Source organism: Homo sapiens, chromosome 2, assembly GCF_000001405.40.
Source record: "Homo sapiens chromosome 2, GRCh38.p14 Primary Assembly".
Lineage (NCBI taxonomy): Eukaryota > Metazoa > Chordata > Mammalia > Primates > Hominidae > Homo > Homo sapiens.
In genome coordinates, this window is record NC_000002.12 from 63992675 (window position 1) to 64016728 (window position 24054).

The 24054-nt window shown below is 38.9% G+C and overlaps 1 protein-coding gene across 10 annotated transcripts in view; it reads right to left on the minus strand.

Moving 5' to 3' along the window:
- The window catches only part of VPS54 (VPS54 subunit of GARP complex), a 127279-nt gene that overhangs the window by 100525 nt on the left and 2700 nt on the right, over window positions 1–24054 (minus strand). For 2 of the 10 annotated variants that reach the window (XM_047444730.1, XM_047444727.1), the window contains exons 1-2: window positions 13794–19780; window positions 11886–11985 (exon numbers count right to left, since the gene is read on the minus strand). The exons of 6 other annotated variants lie outside the window; for them this stretch is intronic. The gene's annotated coding sequence lies outside the window, so the exon portion shown is untranslated. Of the gene's footprint in view, window positions 1–8587; window positions 8710–11885; window positions 19781–24054 lie in introns of those variants that run through there. 2 more of the 10 variants (XM_047444728.1, XM_047444729.1) reach the window with 2 other exon arrangements.

Genomic DNA, 24054 nt, shown 5'->3' on the forward strand with positions numbered 1-24054 from the left:
AGTAAAAAAGAAATCAGGCAAGTGGTGGATGGTAACCAATTTAAGGGCCATTAATGCTGTAATTAAACCTATAGGAGCCTTCCAACTCGGCATGCCTGCCCCTGCTTTAATACCTAAAAATTGGCCTCTCATAGTTATTGATTTTTTTATATTGCTTTACATAAATCAGATTGTGAAAAATTTGCTTTTATTGTACCATCTATCAATAATCAAGAGCCTGCAGCTCATTATCAATGGAAAGTACTTCCTCAGGGAATGCTAAATAGCCCTACAATCTGCCAGCTTTATGTTGGGCAAGTGCTTTCACCAGTTCGAGCCCAGTTTCCCCAGGCCTATATTCTTCATTATATTGATATTTTAATTGCTGCCCCCACTGATAAAGAATTGACTGTTATCAAATTTTGAGCTGCTGTGTTAGAGGCTGGATTACACATCGCTCAGGACAAAATTCAACAGACCACTCCTGTTCAATATTTAGGAATCATGGTCGATAAACATATTCAACCTCAAAAAGTTCAAATTAGGAGAGATTATTTGAAAACTTTAAATGACTTCCAAAAACTTTTGGGTAACATTAATTATTTAACACCTACTTTAGGCATTCCGACCTATGCACTAACTTGTTTTCTATGCTGCGGGGAGATTCCAATCTCCGCAGTCCCAGGACTTTGACCCCTGAGGCTTCACTAGAACTGGAATTCGTAAAGAATTCAGACCATCCAGTTATCTAGAGTACAGCCGTTTCAGCCTTTTCAGCTTCTGGTTTTCGCCTCATTGCACTCCCCTACTGGGCTAATAGTTCAACATAATGATTTAGCGGAGTGGTGTTTTCTTCCTCATTCTGTGTCAAAAACTTTGTCTGTTTATCTGGACCAACTGGCCATCTTAATTGGACAGACTCGGTGTAGAATACTTAAAATTTCCGGATTTGATCCGAATTTAATTGTAGTTCCTTTAAATCGGCTCGAAGTTCAAGTCACCTTTCAACATTCCATACTGTGGCAAATTCACTTGACTGATTTTATTGGCATTATTGACATTCATTATCCAAAAAACAAATTGTTTGATTTTATAAAAATGACTTCTTGGGTGGTCCCTCGATTGACCAAAGATCAGCCCATTCCTGAGGCTGTTACAGTGTTCACTGATGGCTCCAGTAATGGAAATGCTGGTTATGTAGGTCCTACAAACAAGCTTATTTCTACCCCTTATACCTCTGCTCAAAAGGCAGAGTTAAATTGCTGTAATTACTGCCTTATAGGATTTCCCCAAAACCTTTAAATATTGTCTCTGATTCTAGTTAACGTGGGAAAGAGAATATGCTTGTGTGTCACCAGGAGATCATCAAAGGAAAACCACAGGGAAAAGACGTCCGCGTCAAAAACCGCCCTCAGATGTGGTGAGATCTGTGCCAACTCCTTAGAAGCTGGCCCACCAAATCACAATGGGTCTCATTCAATCCTCCCTGATGGCAACACAGACCCATCTAACCAATCCCACTTCTCCTAATTACCTTTCTTTTTCTCCTTACAAACCTAAAAATCTCACCATTTATATTAGCCTGAAAATAACATCCCTCTGTTCTTCTCTTCCTCTTTCGGCACTGAATCTCGCTTACACTAGGTTTTATTTAATGATTCCCCTCCTTATACTTTCTGTCTCACCAGTTTCCTTTCACACTGATTTACCGGCTACACAAAATTATTCTTATTGGGCTTATGTGCCTTTTCCTCCACTTATTCGACCACTCACCTGGATGGACGCTCCTGCAGAAATCTACACTAATGATAGTGTGTGGATGCCTGGAGCTACAGATGACCGTTGCCCCGCTCAATCAGGAAAAGGCGGCACTGCATTTAATGTTACCATGGGTTACAAACACCCACCTCTGTGCCTCGGACATGCACCTGGTTGTATCCATCTAGAAACTCAAGTCTGGGCTGCTTATCTTCCAGAGAGATCAGCTACAGAGAAACCAGGACATTTGGTCTCCAGCCTCTCCCTTTCTCCTTTAAGACAAATGAAAGGGGGAGTAATGGGAGATATCCCATACTTTCAATATAAACCTGCAGGAAAACCATGCCCTAAAAATTTTGAGGGCCCATCTAAAACCTTAATTTGGGAAGATTGTGTTAACTCACATGCAGTAATGTTTATAAATGACTCATATGGTTTAGTAATAGACTGGGCACCAAAGGGCTATTTAAAAAACAAGTGCTCTTCTGGTGGAAGGGAATGCCTGGAGGCTACTTATTTTATTTCTTATTGGGAGAACGAGAATCATCATTCTACTTTGCATAGGAGGTTCAGCTCATTCTTTTCCTTAAAATGGGAAGATAAAGGCATTACCCCCATCTGAGGCCTCGTATGATATTCCCCATTCTGAGTCCAGAACACCCACAACTTTAGAAATTGGCTATTGCCATGTCTGGACTGCAAGTATGGGAAGGGGAAACTATTTTGTCTGTTGTCCCTGCTACCGTCCCCCTCTCTCACTATCAACGTAGATCCAGACATTCTGTTTTACTTACCTCCAACCTGTTTCCACAAAGAGTTGTGTTAAGCCTCCTTACATGCCATTAGTGGGAAATATCAAAATTTGGACGAAGAATCAAACTGTCCAATGCATTGTCATTTATACACTTGTATTAACTCCCATTTTGACTCCAGGAAAAGTATAATGTTGGTTCGAGCTGGAGAAGAAATCTGGATTCCGGTAACTTTGCCCAGACCTTGGGAATCCTCCCCCTCAATACATTTAATTAATGAAGTGTTACAGCGAATTCTTTAAAGATCTAAGAGATTTGTTTTCACTTTAATTGCTGTGATCATGGGCCTAATTACAGTCACTGCAATGGCCACCACTGCCGGAATGGCGTTACATCAGTCTATTCAAACAGCTCATTTTGTTAATGACTGGCAAGCCAATTCCACCAAATGTTGAATTCTCAACAAGGCATTGACCAAAAATTGGCTAATCAAATTAATGATTTAAGACAGTCTGTTATTTGGCTTGGAGATCGGGTAGTGAGTCTCGAACATCACATGCAAATGCAGTGCGACTGGAATACTTCAGATTTCCGTATCACCCTGTATTCCTATAACGAGACTGATCATTCATGGGAAATGGTCAAAGGACACCTTCTGGGTAGGGAAGATAATTTATCATTGGACATGACTAAATTAAATAAACAAATTTTTGAAGTCTCTCAAGCTCATTTATCCATTGTGCCTGGAGCTGAGGCGTTAGATCAGGTGGCAGAAAATCTTTCTGGACTAAACCCCACAACTTGGATTAAGTCTATTGGGGGCTCCACTGTAGTAAATTTCGGAATTATGTTTCCCTGTTTAATCGGCTTGTCTTTAGTGTGCTGGACCAGTCAAAGAATCCTGCGTCAAAATCGAGAGAACAAGCCTTCATCACCATGGCACATTTATATAAAAAGAAAGGGAGAGATGTTGCAGGAAGTCAGGGACCCTGAACGGAGGGACCGGCTGAAGCCATGGCAGAAGAACATAAATTGTGAAGATTTCATGGACAATTTGTTAGTGCTCCAAATTAATACTTTTATAATTTCTTATGCCTGTCTTTACTGCAGTCTCTGAACATAAATTGTGAACATTTCATGGACATTTATCACTTCCCCAATCAATACTCTTATAATTTCCTATGCCTGTCTTTACTTTAATCTCTTAATCCCATCATCCTTATAAGCTGAGGATGTATGTCACCTCAGGACCCTGTGATGATTGCGTTAACTGCACAAATTGTTCCCAAAGCATGTGTGTTCGAACAATATGAAATCTGGGCACCTTGAAAAAAGAACAGGATAACAGCGATGTTCAGGGAACAAGGGAGATAACCATTAGGTCTGACTGCCTGGAAGCCACGCAGGACAGAGCCATATTTCTCTTATTGCCAAAAACGAGTAAGAGAAATATTGCTGAGTTCTTTCCCCAGTAAGGAATATTAATAATTAACAGCCCTGGGAAAAGAATGCATTCCCGGCCGGGGAGGGGGGCCTCTAAAATGGCCGCTCTGGGAGTGTCTGCCTTATGCAGTTGTAGATAGGGATGAAACACACCCTAGTCTCCTGCAGCACCCCCAGGCTTATTAGGATTAGGAAATTCCTGCCTAGTAACCTCATTAGTAATTCTAGTTTTGCCCTGGCCTGGTGACCTTGCCCTGCCCATTTGCCTTGTGATATTTTGTTGCCCTTGAAGCATGTGATCTCTGTGACCCACACCCTATTCATACACTCCCTCCCCTTTGAAAATTGCTAATAAAAACTTGCTGGTTTTATGGCTCGGGGGCATCACGGAACCTGCTGACATGTGATGTCTCACCCAGACACTCAGCTTTAAAATTTCTCTCTTTTGTACTATTTCCCTTTATTTCTCAGACTGGCCGACACTTAGGGAAAATAGAAGAGAACCTATGTTGAAATACAGGGGGCTGGTTCCCCCGTTAGACATAGGCCTGCAGTTTCGTTTTCTGATGCGTCTTTGTTTGGTTTTGGTATCAGGGTAATACTGCCCTCGTAGAATGAGTTTTAAAGTATTCCCTCCTCCTATTTTTCAGACTAGTTTGAGTAGGATTGGTACTAGACCCTCATTAAATGTTTGGTAGAATTCAGCAGTGAAGCCATTCAGGTTCTGGACTTTTTACTGGGAGACTTTTCATCACAACTTTTATCTTATTACTTGTTATTGGTCTGTTCACACCCTGGGTTTCTTCATGGTTCAGTCCTGGAAGATTGTACGTATATAGGAATTTATCCATTTCTTCTAGATTTTGCAATTTATTGGCATACAGTTGCTCACAGTAGCCGCTAATAATCCTCTGAATTTTGTGGTATCGGTTTTAGCATCTCCTTTTTTCATCTCTGATCTTTTGGGGTCTTCTTTTTTCTTAGTCTGGCAAAAGATGTGTCAGTTTTTGTTTTGTTTTGTTTTGTTTTATCTTTTCAAAAACCCAACGTTTTATTGATCTTTTGTCCTGTTTCTTCATTTCAATTTCATTTATCTCTGCTCTGAGCTTTGTTATTTCTTTTTTTCCACTAATTTTGTTTGGCTTGCTCTTGCTTTTCCCTTTCTTTAAAATCCATCATTAGGTTTTTATTTAAAGTTTTTCTTCTTTTTGATGTAGGCACTTATAGCTATAAACTTTCCTCTTTGTATCATTTTTGCTGTATCCTCATAGATTTTGGTATGTCATGTTTCCATTATTAATAAATTTTTCAATTTCTTAATTTCTTCATTGACTCACTGGTCATTCAGGAACATATTATGTAATTTCCATGTGTTTGTATGGTTTCCAGAATTCCTAATATTGATTTCTGGTTTTATTCCATTGTGGTCAGAGAAGATGCTTGATATTATTTGAATTGTCTTCTTTATTTCCAACCTGTTTCTTTGGCTCTAATATTTGCTTTATATATGAGTGCTCCAATAGTTAGGTGCATATATATTTACAATTGTTATATCCTATGCTGAATTGACCCCTTTATCATTATATGGTGACCTTCATTGTCTCTTCTTATAGTTTGTGTCTTGAAATCTATTTTGTCTGATAACTACTAGAGAATATCTTTTTCCATCCCTTTTTTTGTCTGTGTGTGTCTTTATAGGTGAAGTGTGTTTCTTGTGGGCAACAGATCACTGGGTCCTGTTTTTCTATCCATGCAGCCTCTTTATGTCTTGTGATTGGAGAGTTAGTCAACTTACATTCAATATTATTACTGATAAGTAACGACTTACTCCTGCCATTTGTTTTTTGTTTTCTGGTTGTTTCGTAGTCTTCTCTTCCTTCCTGTCTTCCTCTTAGTAAAGGTGATTTTTTTCTGGTGTTATGACTTAATGTCTTGGTTTCTTAATTTTTTGTGTATCTGTTCCATGTTTTTTGATTTGAGGTTACCATGAGGCTTGCAAATACTATCTTATAACCCACTGTTTTATGCAGATAACAATTAACACTGCTTGTATAAATAGGCAAAAAGAAAACTAATAAAACTCTGCACTTTAACTATGTCCCCCCACTTTATAGCTTTTTGTTGTTTCTATTTATATTTTACTATCCTTATGTCTTGAAAAAATTATAGTTATAATTTTTTATTGGCCCCTTTTAATTTCTCTAATTAAGGCTAGTTTACACACCAGTTATCATGTTATAATATTCTATGATTTTCTGTGTACTTATATTGCCAGTTAGTTTTACATCTTCAGATGGTATCTTTTTGCTTATTAATCTTTTTCTTTTTTATTGAAGTACATACCCTTTAGCTTTTTTTAAGACAGAGTCTCACTCTGTCACCCAGGCTGGAGTGCGGTGGCACCATCTTGGCTCACTGCAACCTCCACCTCCCAGGTTCAAGTGATTCTCCTGCCTCAGCCTCCTGAGTAGCTGGGATTACAGGCATGGACTATCTATCATGCCTGGCTAATTTTTGTTTTTCAGTAGAGACAAGGTTTCATCATGTTAGCCAGGCTAGTCTTCAACTCCTGACCTCAGCTGATCCACCCACCTCAGCCTCCCAAAGTGCCAGGATTACCGGTGTGAGCCACTGCACCTGGCCAGCTCTTTAGCATTTCTTGTAGGACAGGTCTGGAGCTGATGAAATCCCTTGGCTTTTGTTTGTCTGGGAAAGTCTTTATTTCTCTTTCATGTTTGAAGGATATTTTCATTGGATATAGTATTCTAAGGTAAAAGGTTTTTTCCTTCGGCATTTGAAACATGTCATGCCACTCTCTTGGCCTGTAAGGTTTCTACTGAAAAGTCTACTGCCAGCCATATTGGAGCTCCATTGTATGTTGTTTCTTTTCTCTTGCTCCTTTTAGTATCCTTGCTTTATCCTTGTCTTTGGGAATTTTATTATTAAATGTCTCGAGTTAGTCCTCTCTGGGTGAAATTTGCTTAGTGTCCTATAACCTTCTTGTACTTGGATATTAATATCTTTCTCTAGGTTTGAGAAGTTCTCTGTTATTATTCCTTCGAATAAACTTTTTACCCCTATCTCTTTCTCTACCTCCTCTTTACAGACAATAACTCTTAGATTTGCCCCTTCAAGGCTACTTTCTAAATCCCGTAGGTGTGCTTATTTTTATTCTTTTTTCTTTTGTCTTCTCTGATTGTGTATTTTCAAAAAGCCTGTCTTCAAGCTCACTAACTCTTTCTTCTGCTTGATCAACTGCCGTTTTTTGTTTTGAGATGGAGTCTCGCCCTGTCACCCAGACTAGAGTGCAATGGCACGATCTCGTCTCACTGCAACCTCTGCCTCCCAGGTTCAAGCAATTCTCCTGCCTCAGCCTCCTAAGTGGCTCAGATTACAGGGATGTGCCACCTTGCCCGGCTAATTTTTTGTATCTTTAGTAGAGGCAGGGTTTCACCATGTTGGCCGGGCTGGTCTCGAACTCCTGACCTCATGATCCACCCTCCTCAGCCTCCCAAACTGATGGGATTACAGACATAAGCCACCACACCCGGCCGATCAACTGCTTTTAAGCCATTATGATGCATTCTTCAGTATGTCAATTGCATTTTTCAACTCCAGAATATCTGTTTAATTATTTTTAATTATTTCAATCTGTTAAATTTATCTGATAGGATTCTGAATTCCATCTCTGTGTTATCTTGAATTTCTCTGAGTTTTCTCAACACAGCTGTTTTGATTTCTGTTTGAAAGGTCACATAACTCTGTTTCTCCAGAATTAGTCCCTGGTGCCTTATTTAGTTCATCTGGAGAGGTCATATTTTCCTGGATGATGTAGATGGGTGTAGATGTTCTTCAGTGTCTGGACATTGAAGTTATTTATTGTAGTCTTCACTGTCTGGACTTATCTGTACCTGTCCTTCCTGGGAAGGCTTTCCAGATACTCTAATGGATTTGGGTGTTGTGATTTAAGCTGTATCTGCTTTAGGGGGCACCCCAAGCCCAGTAATGCTGTGGTTCTTGCAGACTTGTAGAGGTACCACCTTGGTAGTCTTGAATAAAATCTGGAAGAATTCTCTGGATTACCAAGCAGAGATTCTTGTTCTCTTCCCTTACTTTCTCCCAAACAAATGAAGTCTCTTTCTGCTGAGCTGCATGGGGCTTGCAGCAGGGCAACACAAGCACCCTGTGGTCAACACTGGCACTGCACTGGGTCAGACCTGAAGCCAGCACAGCACTGAGTCTCACCCAAGGCCCACCGTAACCACTACCTGGCTACCGCCTATGTTTGTTCAAGGACCTAGGGCTCTACCATCGGCAGGTGGCAAAGCCAGCCCAGCTTCTGTCCTTCTCTTCAAGACAGCAAGTGCCCCCAAGTCCTCATGTAAGTCCAGAAGTTATCTCCAGGAGCTAGGAATCAGTCAAAAACCTTAGAAGTCTACCTGGTGTTCTATTATACTGCAGCTGAGCTGGCCCTCAAATCATGAGACACGGTCATTCCCACTTCTCTCTCCCCTTTCCACAGGCAGAGGAGCCTCACCCTGTGGCCACCACCACCAAAGGCCCATAGGGAGTACTGCCAGGCTACTGTCAATGTTCACAAGATACAAGGGCTCTTCAGTCAGCTTGTGGTGAAGGCTGCCAGGCCTGGGACTCACCCTTCAGTAAGCTCCCCTCTGGTCCAGGGCAGGTCCAGAAATGCTGTCCAAGAGCCAAGGCCTGGAATCAGGGACCCCAAGAGCCCACTCGGTGTTTGAACCCACTATGGCCAAGGTGATACCTAAGATACAAGACAAAGTCCCCTTTATTTTTCCATCTGCTTTTCTCAAGCAGAGTCTCTCACTGTAGCCACTACAGCTGGGAATGTGCTGGGTCTCACCTGAAGCCAGCATGTCTGAGTCTCAGCCAAGGCCCATGGCGTACTACGTGGTTATCACTGCTAGTTATTCAGGGCCCAAGGGCCCTTTAGTCAGCACAGGATGGATCCTGCCAGGACTGGGTCCCTCCCTTCAAGGCAACAGGTTCCCTTCTAGCCCAGGCGTGTGTCTAGAAATGTTATCCAGGAGCTAGGGCTTAGAATGGGGGCCTGACCAGTACCCTATCCTACTGTGGTTGAGCTGATATCCAAGATGTAAGACAAAAGTCCTCTTTACTCTTCCTTCTCCTCTCCCCAAGCAGAAGGTAGGGATATCTTTTAGAGCTGTGAGCTGGGCTGCCTGGGCTTGGAGAAGGGGTGGCACAAGCACTCCCTTAGGTGTTCCAATTGATGTCTTAGTAAGTCATGTGCCCCTAATTCCACTGGTGCCGAGCCCAGTTCAGCACTAGGACTTGCAGTCCTTTTGGCTTACACTGCCTTTTATTTAGGACCCCGGCACACCTCAGCCCACAGTGGCAAGGCTTGCCAGAACTCAAGTTCCAACCACTGTGATGGGTAATTCCCCTCTGGCTAGGGCTGGTCTGAATGCTCCCTCCATGTGTGGGCATCAGCTGAGTTCACCCTGGTTTTGCTTTTTGCTGTTATAGTGCATTCAATGAGAAGTCTCACAATTGCTGCACTCCTCCTATCCCAAGCATACAAATTTCTCCACACCACATAGTCGCTGCATGGGGGATGGGGGAGAGGTGGTGTCAGCAATTCAAGACTGTCTTTCCTATCCTGTTCAGTGCTTCTTTGGGCAATATGAAGTTAAAATCAGGTTCTGTGAGTGCTCACCTGATTTTTGTTTCTTATGAAAGTGCTTTTGGTGTGTAGTTGTTAAATTTGGTGTTCCTATGGAGGGGGACATCCAGTGGAGCCTTCTAGTCCACCATCTTGCTCTGTACCCCCAAATCTAAAATAAATACATTTTGACATGAAGTGTTAAGCCACAGACATGTGGAAAATGTATTTATGTTAAACATCCATTGCTTAATGTCAGATAAATTAGATATTCATTCTGACAATACTATGTTGATATCTTGATTTATTCTATTTACCATGCTGTTTTTACAGAAAAAAAATCCTAAGTGCCATTTTAGAAACCTAGAAATATGCAGGGAGATGGCAGAAAAATATTTCTAGATTCTTCTAAGTTATTTCTGTATCTGAGGAGAAAAACACATGGTTTACTCTTTAAAGATTTTGACTTGGAAAACATATGCACATTCTCTTTTTTCCTATACCACTCTTAATTCTTATAACAAGAGGGAAGATCTCTAGTAAAAGGGGATTACATAAAACTAGTGGACTGCCTATAAAGATGAGTCCCAGTTTCCAAACATTTGACTCTTCACTGCCTTCACCATCCACAGCTTATTATTAAAAAGATCTCCCTACAGTAAGAACCAAACTTTGTACTGATCATCACATAATTATAAAAGTACAATCACTGGTAAGAAAACATGGATTTATTCATAAGATGTAGATGTACAGACAAATACAACAAATGTACATGGCATCTGAATCACAAAATTTCAGCAAAGAAATAATCTTTCATTGAAAGGCTAAAGAACAAAAATGATGAGAAACCTTAAGAAGGTTTCAGGATAAGCAATGATAGTTTGTCTACTCAGAAAAAAAATCAGTTCGAAAAAACAAACAAGCAAACAAAATACACAAAATACAGGAAAACGGAAAGCTCTAAGCACTAAACACAGGGAACTACTGATTTCTGATAGTTCAAGTTAACTACCATCTAGAAACAAATTTGGCATTTTAACAATTGTAATGAGAATCTATAAATAGCTCTACCTTTTTCACATGGTAATCTCCTTATAATTGTATGAATACTATGTTCAAATATTATTCTCTCTTGAAGCTTTCTTTGGTTTCTCACACTTAGTCACTCTATGTATTTCAATTTTTGCATCAATCATACTGAGGTTTTGCTTTTCATACAGTTCTTCCCTATCAGGCTTTGCATTTCTTGATGTTTCTGTTTTTCTGTGTATTCTATTTGCTTATCACAGTTCCTGTCATACATATAATAAAAATTTTATAGATGAATGAAATGGATGGTATGTAGAACATATCAGAACAGACAGACAAAACAGACAGACAGCTGCCAATAATACTTAAGTAATAACAGAATGGGTCTGGGCTAATAAGGAAAAGAAAAAACAATCATCCATTCCAAAAAAAAAGGATTTCCAAGGATGAGTAAATAGAGATTTGATTTTCTTTCTTATAGCTCAAAATATCTTTTTATGTTCAGTTAAAAACTTCTTTTGAAAGGCACTAGAAGCATTGCCTCCCCCAACCCCAACCACCAGCCAGAACCCCACCAAGCAATGAACACACGTGGTGCCCAGACTTCTGTTTCTAAATACCACTTCCAACTAAAAGAACCAGGACTCTTTGAAAGAATATGTAACTCCAGACATGGAATACAGAAAGAATAAGTCTACCCTGAGCACTCTTGTGTCAGAAAGCAAGATATGCTCAAAGACCAGCAGGACCTATCAAGAGGACAAAGGACCAAGTTAAAAGGGGGTTCCCACTGGCCACATTTGGGACAACTTGAGCATATTTTTTTAAAAGTAATAGAGTATAACATATGGAATAAGTAAAAATTAATGGATACATAGAGATACTTAAGGGAGAAAAAAAAAGATAAGGAAAGGGGGTGGGGAAAGAAAATCTCTACTGAAGAATGCCAGTAATAAATATAAAAGGAATAACCAAATTAGAAAATCACCAATTTGCAACCCCCAATGTAAAAGCTAATTCAGGCAAAAATCACCAAAGTATGCTAAGGCCATTAGGTGAAAAGTTGTTAAAAACATTATATTCTCATGGCGCCTAAGTATTACCTCACAGATTACTTAGCAACACAAAGGGGAAAATGTATCTTTAAAATGGAGACCTGGCTGTCACCACCTTACATAAGTCATTAAAGTTAACATTACTGATAACAGGAGGACAACCTGATATTATGTAATTCATGAAATGACAAAATAGGAAATAAACATCATTACCTATGAAATAGTCTCTTCAAAAATGTTTAATCCAATCCAATCCAATCCAATCTCTAGATCAGGAGTTAAGCTTTATTGTCCTGTGGATTTCTTTTACAGTCTGGCGAAGTTTATGGATACCTTCTTAGAATAATGTTTTTAAATGCATAAAACACACAACACTACAATGGACAATTATACTGAACTACAGCTACAATAATAACTGTTTAAATTATAACATAGTATTATTTCTTCTTTTTGAGACAGGCTCTCACTGTCACCCAGGCTGGAGTGCAGTGACATAATCACAGCTCACTGCAATCTCAACCTCCTGGGTGCAAGCGATCCTCCCACCTCAGCCTCCTGAGTAGCTGGGACCACAGGTGCACACTACCACACCTGGCTAATTTTTGTATTTTTGTAGAGACGAGGTCTCACTATGTTGTCCAGGCTGGTCCTGAACTCCTGGGCTCAGGCAGTCCTCCCACATCAGCCTCCCAGAGTGCTGGTATTACAGGCATGAGCTACCATGCCCAGTCTACTATTGCTTCTTTTTTTTTTTTTTTTTTTTTTTTTTTTTTTTGAGACGGAGTCCCGCTCTTTAGCCCAGGCCAGATTGCAGTGGCACAATCTCGGCTCACTGCAAGCTCCGCCTCCCAGGTTCACGCCATTCTCCTGCCTCAGCCTCCCGAGTAGCTGGGACTACAGGTGCCCGCCACCGCGCCCGGCTAATTTTTTGTATTTTTAGTAGAGACGGGGTTTCACCGTGTTAGCCAAGATGGTCTCGATCTCCTGACCTTGTGATCCGCCCGCCTCGGCCTCCCAAAGTGCTGGGATTACAGGCGTGAGCCACCGCGCCCAGCCTACTATTGCTTCTTAATACGAATCTAGTAACTACCTTATAGGCAATAAATGAGCATAAATTAAATCTTAAGATATCTGTAGCAATTGAATGTGATATGAGAATACCTGAGATTTCTATTGGTGACAAAGCTACAGGTACTGTAAATGTACTGTCCATACTGTATCCATGAAGCGTTTCTTATATTCCTAATTAAAGGAAATGCTAAAATCCAGTTAGGGCAGAGTTTTTCAACTTTGACACTACTGACATTTTGAAAGGGATAATTCTGTTATCAGGGACTATCTTGTACCCACCCAGCTGTGACAATCAAAAATGTCCTAGGGTTGGGGAAGGAGAAGACAAACTCACCCCGGTTGAGAACCACTGAGTTAGGGAATAAGTTAAAATAAAGATGTAATTTTTTCCCCATCTAAAGTTCACAGATTCCCTGAATTCTACAGACCCTACAAGAGTCTGTGAACTCAAGGTTCAGCACCCTTGCTCTAGACCTACCTTTGAGTTTACAGTAAATAGAAGGAAGTAGGATAGTAAGGTTTAAACCACCATATATGAGGAAACAATGAGACAAATTAAGAGTATGAGATAGTCTATTAAGAAAATGGCTTGGATACTCAGTCATTTTAAAAAGGTGGGAAACTACTCTAGACTAAAATAAATTATGTGATTATTTACCTGCTTGTTTCCTATCTCTCCCACTATACTGTAAACTTACTTACTTATATTTGTTTCATTCACTTTCCTATACCACACCCAATACAAAGTCTAAGCATTCAATAAACTGCATGACTATTCAATGAACGAATGAGCAAATGAATGAATATCACAGAAAGTGTGTAAGACACACAAGCCACTAACACAATACCTCAAAAGGTTCACATACATTTCAAATAATCTAAAAATATAAATCCAAAATATATTTCCTTGTTTGTATTAACATTACTTGACTTTCTGAAATTTGATTCTAGATCTCCACCTTCCTTGTAAAACGATATACTAGTTAAGAGTATTGGCCATACAATCAGTTAGATCACTGTCATTTATTAGTTGTGTGACAACTGTCTTACCTTCCTAAGTCTGTTTCCTAATTTGTAAAATGGGACAGCAGCAGTATCTTCCTCATAGGAATGTCATAAGATTTAAATGAAATAACTTATGTGAGTTCATAGCATAATACTTGGTACATAGTAGACATTCAATAAATAATTGCAACAACTATTATTATAAACTTTTTTTTTTTGAGACAGTCTCACTGTCAGCAGGCTAGAGTGCAGTGGTGCAATCGCGGCTTCACTGCAACCTCCGCCTCCCAGTTTCAAGCCATTCTCCTGCCTCAGCCTCCTGAGTATCTGGGACTACAGGCGCATGCCACCACGCCCAGCTAATTTCTGTAATTTTAGTAGAGACAGGGTTTCGCCATATTGGTCAGGCTAGTCTTGAACTCCTGACCTCAGGTGATCCACCCGCCTTGGCCTCCCAAAGTGCTGGGATTACAGGCGTGAGCCACCACGCCCGGCAAACATCTTACTTTTTAAATGGTCAGCAAACATTAACATTTCAACTGTGCCATGCAAAATTTTAAAATAAATGCAAACTTTAGGATCCTGAGCCTCCTCTTCTGGCGTCCTTTTCTTTGCTTGAGCATTCCTAATCCTGGAGAGAGAGGTGGTGGGTAGGAGAAAGTAGAGGGAAAACAGCAATAACAAACTAAACCAATATGGGCAGACATAACTTACTTTCAGAAAAGTCACCAAAGCATAGAAAAATGATCCTCATTGCCTTGCCACTAAAGGGGGTAAAAAGAATATTGGAAAGTGATAATGAAGCTAGAAAATATGGTGGCCTAGAACATAAGCAACTTTGATGACAAAATTGTGCCCGTGGGAGAGAAGACAGACGAGGAGGTGGTAGGGGAGTGACTGGAAATAATGGTTTGGAAGACATCTGAGCATAGGTCAAAGTTAAGTCCATGGAAGTAGAGTAGACGAGATAAAAATTACAATTTTTGAGTTGGACAAGACTTTAAAAGAATATCTGGCTTGACTTTCTACTTCATATATAAATCCTTTCTACAAGGTGTCTTTTTGCCTCTACTTGAAAACTTCAATAATGAAGAATTAACTACTTTAAAAGCAGAGTACTACTGTAAAACAACCATAATTACTTTGGAGAAAAAATATTCTTGTAGTGAACAGAATCCTGCTTCCCTGAATTTTCCATTACTGCTTCTAGTTCAATTACATTACAGGAATGAATTAGTAGATAACTACAGATAGTCACAGGAAAGTGATATTACAAATGGAGAAAGTGCCGAAGAAGAGAGCTAATGAAAGCTCTGAAGAAGGGGTAGGGCAAATATGTTTAGAGGAAAAGACAAAGGCAATCAGAAATACCATCCTTACACAGGGAAGATGTGTCAGGAAGTAAAGTGCGAACAGTAAGTAGCATCAACATGCTGCAAAGAGATCAAGGAGATTACTAACTTTAGAAAGGATACTGGATTAAGAACAGTTTCAGGACAGTGGTTAGGGAAGAAGCAATCCCACTGAGGTTAAGAGGTAAGTGATGAAGTAATAAAGGCAACAATATCAACATCTCTTTGGTGGTAAAAGGAAAAAAAAAAAAAGAACAAGAGTTGAGCAAGAATCTTTTAGGCTATCGGAGACCTGACCATATTTGTAGGCAAACAGCAAGAAGCCAATTGAAGGGTGAGATTAAAGAGGAACAAGAGGCCGGGCGCAGTGGCTCATGTCTGTAATTCCAGCACTTTGGGAGGACGAGGTGGTTAGATCACCTGAGGTCAGGAGTTCAAGATCAGCCTAGCCAACGTGGTGAAACCCCATCTCTACAAAAAATACGAAAAATTAGCCGGGCATGGTGGCATGCACCTGTAATCCCAGCTACTCAGAAGGTTGAGGCACAAGAATCGCTTGGACCTGGGAGGCAGAGGTTGCAATGAGCCAAGATCATGCCATTGAACTCCAGCCTGGGTGACAGAGCGCGACTCCGTCTCAAAAAAAAAAAAAAGGAACAAGTAAGTGGTGGAGAAAGGAGATGGTCAGAGTTACATACACACAGGAATGGGGCGAGAGGGGATGGGAAAAGGAGAGGCAAAGTGAGAAAGAAAGAATATCAAGCCCAGGGACTAAAAGGCACCTCAGGTTTATGTCACACCTTGAGAAAGACAGGACTTTGTCAGTCAACAGTGAGAAAATAAGCAGGCTGACCTAGAAAAGTTGCCTCACACCCTACTCCTGTGCCCAATGTGTGAGTGGGAGGAGGAGTGGAAATCAGCTGGGACTGCAGGCTCTGAAGGTTCTGTGAAGCGCTAGATCAAGAGCATGTAAAAATACGCTATCAATGAAAGAAGGAAGGATGACAGGGAAGAATGAAATGGAAAGACAAGAAGAATTGCATCATCACTAATATCTGACTATACAGTCAAATACAGTGAACACTATACAGTTCATAATAGCTTACTTTCAGATGTTTTTGTTCATCTTCAAAATAACCTAGTAAGAAAAATATTTCTGAATGAATCAATGAATCAACGATCTCCATTATATGAATGAAGAAACAAGTTCTAGAGTAACTTGATTTCAGACCATTCAGTGAGTTAACTGTGAAGAGGGAATCTGAATTCAGATTTTCTGATTCTAAGTTTCATGCCTCTGTCTCTGCACCAATAAAAAAATTTTAAATTATGTCACTACTCCTTCCCACCCATTTCAGGCTCCTGGTGCTTTCCTCTTCTGTCTTTGTCTCCTTATCAGATCAATGACTGAATCAATAATTATTTACTCTCATAACTGTTACTTATGTTCATCTTCTATTGAATGATAGAAATAATTAACATCTAATTGTGACAATTTTATAAGACCAGGACTATTCCAAAAGAAAAAAGATACTATACATTTTCTTTTCTTTTTTTTTGAGATGGAGTCTCGCTGTGTCGCCTAGACTGGAGTACAGTGGCAAGATCTCAGTTCATAACAACCTCCGCCTCCCGGGTTCAAGCGATTCTCCTGCCTCAGCCTCCTGAGTAGCTAAGACTACTGGCACCCAGCACCACACCCGGCTAATCTTTGTATTTTTAGTATAGACAGGGTTTCACCATGTTGCCCAGGCTGGTCTCAAACTCCTGACCTCAGGTGATCCGCCTGCCTCAGCCTCCCAAAGTGCTGGGATTACAGGCGTGAGCCACCATGCCCAGCCTACATTTTCATCAGTGTAATTTACTGCATTTTTCTTACCAAAGGAGTAATTGTGCACCTGTAACGTGGGATAAATATACTACTTTGGCGCATCATTTTAGCACTTTCAAGAAAGTTTGAGCCCAAGAAGTTGAGGCTGCAGTGAGCTGTGATGGCATCACTGCACTCTGACCAAGGCAGTGGAGAGAGGCCATTTCAACAACAACAACTTCTGAATTCCATATAATTGACCCTTTTTTTTTTTTTTGAGACAGTCTCGCTCTGTCACTCAGGCTGGAGTGCAGTGGCGTGATCTCGGCTCACTGCAACTTCCTGCTTCTGGATTCAACTGATTCTCCTACCTCAGCCTCCCAAGAAAATGGGACTACAAACGCCTGTCACCTTGCCTGCCTAATTTTCGTATTTTCAGTAGAGACGAAGTTTCACCATGTTGGCCAGACTGGTCTCAAACTCCCGACCTCAGGTGATTCGCCCACCTCGGCCTCCCAAAGTGCTGGCATTACAGGCGTGAGCCACCGCGCCTGGCCCCATATAATTGACTTATAAATGAACTTTTTTAAAAAAAGTCTATTTATAATTTGAGAAAACATGGATAAAGTGGAATTTCTTTTTAACACTGGAGCTGGACAGAGCTTTTTTGACATAATTTTGATACAATTTTGGACCTAATTTTTTTAAAAGTCCACAACTGACTGCTGTTTTTTTAAAAGCAAACAAAAAAATCTCAAATTTCATTTCTCCAAATTTACAAGTACTGATAATATGCAAGAAAAACTTAACCACACTGTAATGTCCTACCAAAGATCAGTTTGACAGAACTCAGGAGTTTATGTTACCATAGTAAAAACTCTGCCCCCTCCTTTCTCCACCACCTTTTCTTGTTCCTATTTAATCTCATCCTTCAGTTGGTTTCTTGCTGTTTGCCTACAAAATACATCAAATATCTCATGTTCTAAGAAGTACTTTCCACAACATTTTTGAAATGTAAAAGCCAATTTCTGGCAAATGTAAGTTTTTCATACTACCTATACACAAATAGCAATATACTTCTACACTATTTATCATTTGACAAAATCTAGTTTAATCATAATTTTTAAAAATCTTTAAATTTTTTTAAAATGCGTATCACATATTATTGCTCACAAAAATCTCAATATTGAAGGTACAATTTAAACATAATCTCAAGAAATACTAACATTGGGGCTGTCATATAAATAAGTACTTCTATAGTCCTCTTGAGCATTAAAGAAGTATGGAAGAGGCTTAAGGAACCCAGAAAATAAGAACAAAGTTGTAGTAATCTAATTTTCTTTTTCTTTACATCCTCATATGGCATTTATGAAACCCTGTGCTTTGCAGGAAACTCTGAATGCATGCGCTTCCTAAAGTTGCTTATTTACTTTTTATTTAGTGACAAGAAACAATAAGAAATAATATTGACTAGGAGGATAAAAATTATAACAATTTGTAATGTTAAATTTAAATATTTTTAAATGGCTTATAAAACAAATGCTATTTCATGTGATATCTTTATCAGGAAGAAAAATCATAAATATCCTCATAAAATATATACTTTTTAAGTCTAGATATTATTCCAAATAAAAGCAATGTCTTTTTTTCCCCAGCACTCAGAGAATTATAACATTATAGCAGCCATTAAAATTAAGGGGAGGCCGGGCACGGTGGCTCATGCCTGTAATCCCAGCACTTTGGGAGGCTGAGGCAGGCAGGTCACAAGGACAGGATATCCAGACCATCATGGCCAACATGGTAAAACCCTGTCTCTACTAAAATACAAAAAGTTAGCCGGGCATGGTGGTGCACGCCTGTAGTCCCAGCTACTCGGGAGGCTGAGGCAGAGCAATCGCTTGAACACAGAACGGGGAGGTTGCAGTGAGCCGTGATTATACCACTGCACTCCAGCTTAGCAACAGAGCCAGACTCCATCTCAAAAGAAAAAAAAAATTGATTAAGGGTCACAGGCCTGGAATATGAATAAACTATACTAAGATAAAATCTGTCTCTAGCATGTAAAAATTCCAACAACAACAAAAAATAGCTTGGATGCTTTCTTACTCCTTTGGGCCACTGATACGATTGTATTACTAGTGAAATTTTTGTCAGTCAAAATGAACCATATTAGACACTGGTATTCTCTTCTTGGTGTCCCAGCCAAAAATATTAGCAAGATAATCTTAAAATCTCTCATTCAGAGGTACTGAAGAATAAATATGTCTCAAATATATAAACTATTAGATACTTATTAAGTAACAAAGATGATGCTTTCAAGGAATTTTCATTTTAGGGAAAATAAAGCAAAATAGCTAAGAAACATCTGCAATAAGTCAGTAAATAGTTTACAAATAAAAATATTAAATGTTAGTTTAAGGGAAAAGTAAATACAGGGTTTATGATTACTATAACCTCAAACAAACAATAAATTAGTATTTTAATTAATCACTCCTTGGCATTACCCTTGCATCTCTCACCACTGGTTGGCTATCTTAGCCCTGCTCTACTTTACTAACTTCATTACTTAGCCTACATCCCCATTACTTCATCTCCCTTGCATCTCTCCTCCCTCATCCACCTTCAATACAGTGTGTCTTTGCTTTTCTCCTGCTTGCAGAACACTGCCAGAAAAAACAGTAAAATATGCTGATTACAAATTTATGAGTTCCAATCTCAGATGAGCCTCTGATGCTGCTCAGCAATTCTTTCACTTATTTATCTTGAAACACTTCTCTTCTCCATTCCCCACAATATGTGGAACATTTTCATCACTCTCCTCAAGTCCCCTAGCCTACTTCCAACAACGCAAGGCTCAAAAAGTAACTGTTTAAAAAAAAAAAAAAAAAAAAAGTCCCCAGATGTAGTTTTTTCCGTTCATATCCAAATGTACCTAATTCTCATCTATACACAACTCTTAACTTTCTGAGATAGAGTATAGGTGTCTACTCTTTTCCAGAGTTAATCCCCCAACAGCTGTTTTTGATCTTACCTCTTCCTGCTTCATCTGGGACCTTTTTCTATTAGTTATTCCCCAATTCTATCTTTAATCTCTTCATCGGCCCATCAAAAAAAAAAAAAAGAAAAGAAAATTTCAAGCACCAAATGAAGGCCCTTTCCCTCCTCCCTGCCTCCTCCAGCTACTACTTCTCACCTCCCCTTCATTGGCAAACCTCCGTTCTCTTTTTGGTCTACTTCCTTAGCTGTCTTCCATCTTCACCATTTACTTGGCTCCAGAAAAGGTTAGGAATGACCTGATTTCTACATTCCGTGGCCTATATTCAGAATTTATCTAACCTGACCTCAATGCCCTGAAAAAGTCAAAGAAGGTAATAAAAGTAGAAGGAATGCAAAAAGAAAAGTTACCATTTGTAATCCTCCAACATAATGACTGATTCAAGCAAGGATCATTAATGGGTACCAAAATCACTGGTTAAAGGGTTGTCAGGGAATAGGATATTTACATGGCTATTAAGTATCCTCTATAAATTATTTATTAAACAGTAGAGAGATCTGTCAGTTCACCTTTACCAAGTGATCAAACTTGCATTACCGATATAGTGATAGCCTGAAATCATGTGCCTCCTGATGTAATACAGCAGAAATACACATCATCTGTGTGATGGTCTCACCAGAAATGTCTGACTAGAATCTAATCATGAGGAACAGACCAATTCAGAATGTGGAACATGCTCCAGGACATATGGTCTCTACTTCTCAATGGATAAACCTAAAGAAGAGAGGAAGGCGGTAGGACTAGTCCAGATTGGGGGAGACTTAAAGAGACATACCAGCCAAATGCAATGCATTAACCTTGAATGAATCCTGCATTTGAGGGGGGAAAAAGCTATAAAGATTTTTGGGACAAATGGGAAGATTTAAGTATAGAGTATACATCAAATAATGTTATTAAGTAAATGCTGATATATATATATGATATATATATCAGCATTTATATATAAATATATATCAATATATATCATATGATATATATCAGCATTTATATATAAATATATATCAATATATAGATATATATTGATATATATATCTATATATTGATATATATCACATATATAGAGATATATATATCATATAGAGAGATATATATATATCATATATAATACCAATCAATACCACATTACTTATTCTGAATATTGTCTGCAACTATTCCACCCTCAAATTACCCCATAAAAATCTTACTGAATAGCTGGGCCTTTGACCACCTCTACCCTTATTTTTATATGATTCTGAAAGAAAGGTGACCAGTTAACAAAATTTTAAGAAACCAGCCAGGCGCGGTGGCTCACACCTGTAATCCCAACACTTTGGAAGGCCGAGGCAGGTAGATCACAAGGTCAGGAGTTCGAGACCAGTCTGACCAACATGGCGAAACCCTGTCTCCACTTAAAATACAAAAATTTGCTGGGCGTAGTGACACGCCAGAAAGATGAAAAATAATTTTAAAAGAAATCTAGAAGGAAATGAGATTTTACAAATGGTGAGCAGGCTTACAACCCCTATTTCTTCAGTTAAATTCTCACATCTGAAGAATAATTACCTTCAGATAATAGAAAAACCCTTCAAATACACAGGAAGGCAGGCATAGTAAATGAAGACAAAAGGATTATTCCCCAAAAGGGAATTAATCCAAATAACGACAGCATACTCTTAAAAACACTAAAACTTTTTGAATAAGTCACTTCCAAAAATTTTAACTCTGAAGTAAAATATATATATTTTCAAGTCTTCTCAAATAGCATATTTGAAAACAAGGTAATCTTTTCTTAATAAGTTAATTTCACCATTATAATAATCAGTTATTTTACTGTGCTATAACGGTGATACTCTCAGGTGCTACAGAAGGAAGTCAGTTTGCCCCTATATTAAGGAGTTTCAGATTATAGTGATATACTAGTTATTTTACTAGTTTGTTATCAATATTTGTATTTAGTGCTTCTCTCCTCCCTAGAGAGGCTGTCAGCCATCACTATTCTCCGCCTTACTATCTACATTCCTGCCTTTGACAACCTCTATATTCCTTCCTAATTTGATTCTTCTGAAGCGAATAACTCTTCTACAGTATATTATAGTTGACACTGCATCTTAATACATATTACCTCATTTAATAATTCTTACAATAGCCTTGTAATACATGGATTATCACTACCCCTATTTTATAGATGAGAAAACTGAGGCTCAGAAAGAATAACTTGAGTAACTTATCCATAAGGTATGGATGATAAATAGCAAAAGTGATCTCAACTGTCAATTACCTTCTTTCATCAACAAATTAAGCTTGTTAAAAACATTAAATAGTCTAAAGTGGAGCTCATAGGGGAAAAAAAGATTCATTATAAGCTTGGAATTTTTCTGGACATTCACAACATACATACATACATACATAACATAAGTGTTATACATACATATATAACATAAGTGTTATCCATAAAGTTAAACACTTAGCTTACTTCTCCTTTCTTGGTAGTTGAAGCTGCCAGGAAAAAAAAAAATCACTTCTGGATAAAAAAGATATGACTATATTCTATTTACAATTTCAAAAACATATGCAAAAATAACAATTCAAAACAATAGTAGTCCAAATTTGCAGTAAATTAAGTCTGTTTTTAGAAAAAAAGGGGTTCTTTTTTCAGATTTGAAGACAACCTAAACATACGAAACAGTATCTGCGTCATGTCGTAAACAGATTTCCTTTTATTTTTCCCTCAATTCCTCCTCTTGCAAAGAAATAGAGTTAGTTGCTAGAGGATCTAAGGTGTTAATCTAATTCACCAAACATCGCCCACTGAGACTATTCTCCCACCTGGTAGGAATCAAAAACACTAGGTCCTTACCAGAAATCGTGCAGCCCCTAGGTTTACAATGGTACCATTGACATTTTGAACCGGATAATTTCTTGCAGAAGTATGTCCTGTGCATTGTAGGGTATTTAGCAACATCCTTGGCCAATACCATTTCCTTCAGCTATGACAACCAAAAATGTCTCTAGACACTGCCAAATTTCCCTTGGAGTCAAAACCGTCCTCGCAGAGCCATTGTTTTAGATGTTAGGGCACTGGATATTTGAAAAAGGAAACCTCCAACTGGCCCTGTTAATTATATTTTTTTAAAATTTGGATTTAAAAAAATAAGACATTAATAGTATAAGAAGATATCTAAATAATACATTTGCTACCCTTCCTTAGGTTAAAGCATTTTTAGAGGATTTTGTAACATGGGTTTCATCAATGTAGCTACATATAGTCACCCACTTTTCCCCCAAAGTTGGGGGAATGTCCAGTTCTTTCTCAGCTCTGCTAGCAAAATGTCAAATACATACATATATACAAGAATCTAAACAATTCTAACTTCCAAAGTCCCATTTCTTGCTTTACATGGCCACGCTGTGGTTCTTGAGCCACACATCCTAGAGATTCAAGCTTCTAATCTCCATGTTTCCTCATCTGGTTGCTGCCAACTAATAGCGAGGTAAGCAGGAAGTAAGCTGATGACCTTTAAGATCTTTTCCCTGATATTCTAATATTCAATGACAAAAATGCCCACTTTTACTTATTGATTCCGAGCTGACCAAACTACCTCTTGAGGTTACTGAAGCCATTCATGCCTTCTCCAACTTTATGCTGAATACAACCAAAAAGTGTATCAGTTATTTACAACATCACTTTTAATATTGGTGATCAGTTGCTTATTCCCTAGCTCAAATAAAAAATTTTAACATGTACACTGATTTTAAAGGAAAAGCTTTTCAAGAAGCTATGAGCCAAGAAGCATTATATGAAAGGCCCACATTAGGCCAATATTGAGACAGAAAGTAGACTAGTGGTTGCCTAAAGCTGGGGGTGGGGTGAAGAGAATGGGGAGTAACTGTTAATGGATAAAGGTTTTTTGAGGGAATGATGAAAATGTTCTAAAATTAGATTATGGTGATGGTTGCACAATTATTTAATCTAAAAACCACTGAATTGTATATTTTTTTTTTTTTTTTGAGATGGAGTCTCGTTCTGTCACCCAGCCTGTAGTGCAGTGGTGCTATCTTGGCTCACTGCAACCTCCACCTCCCAGGTTCAAGCGATTCGCCAGCCTCAGC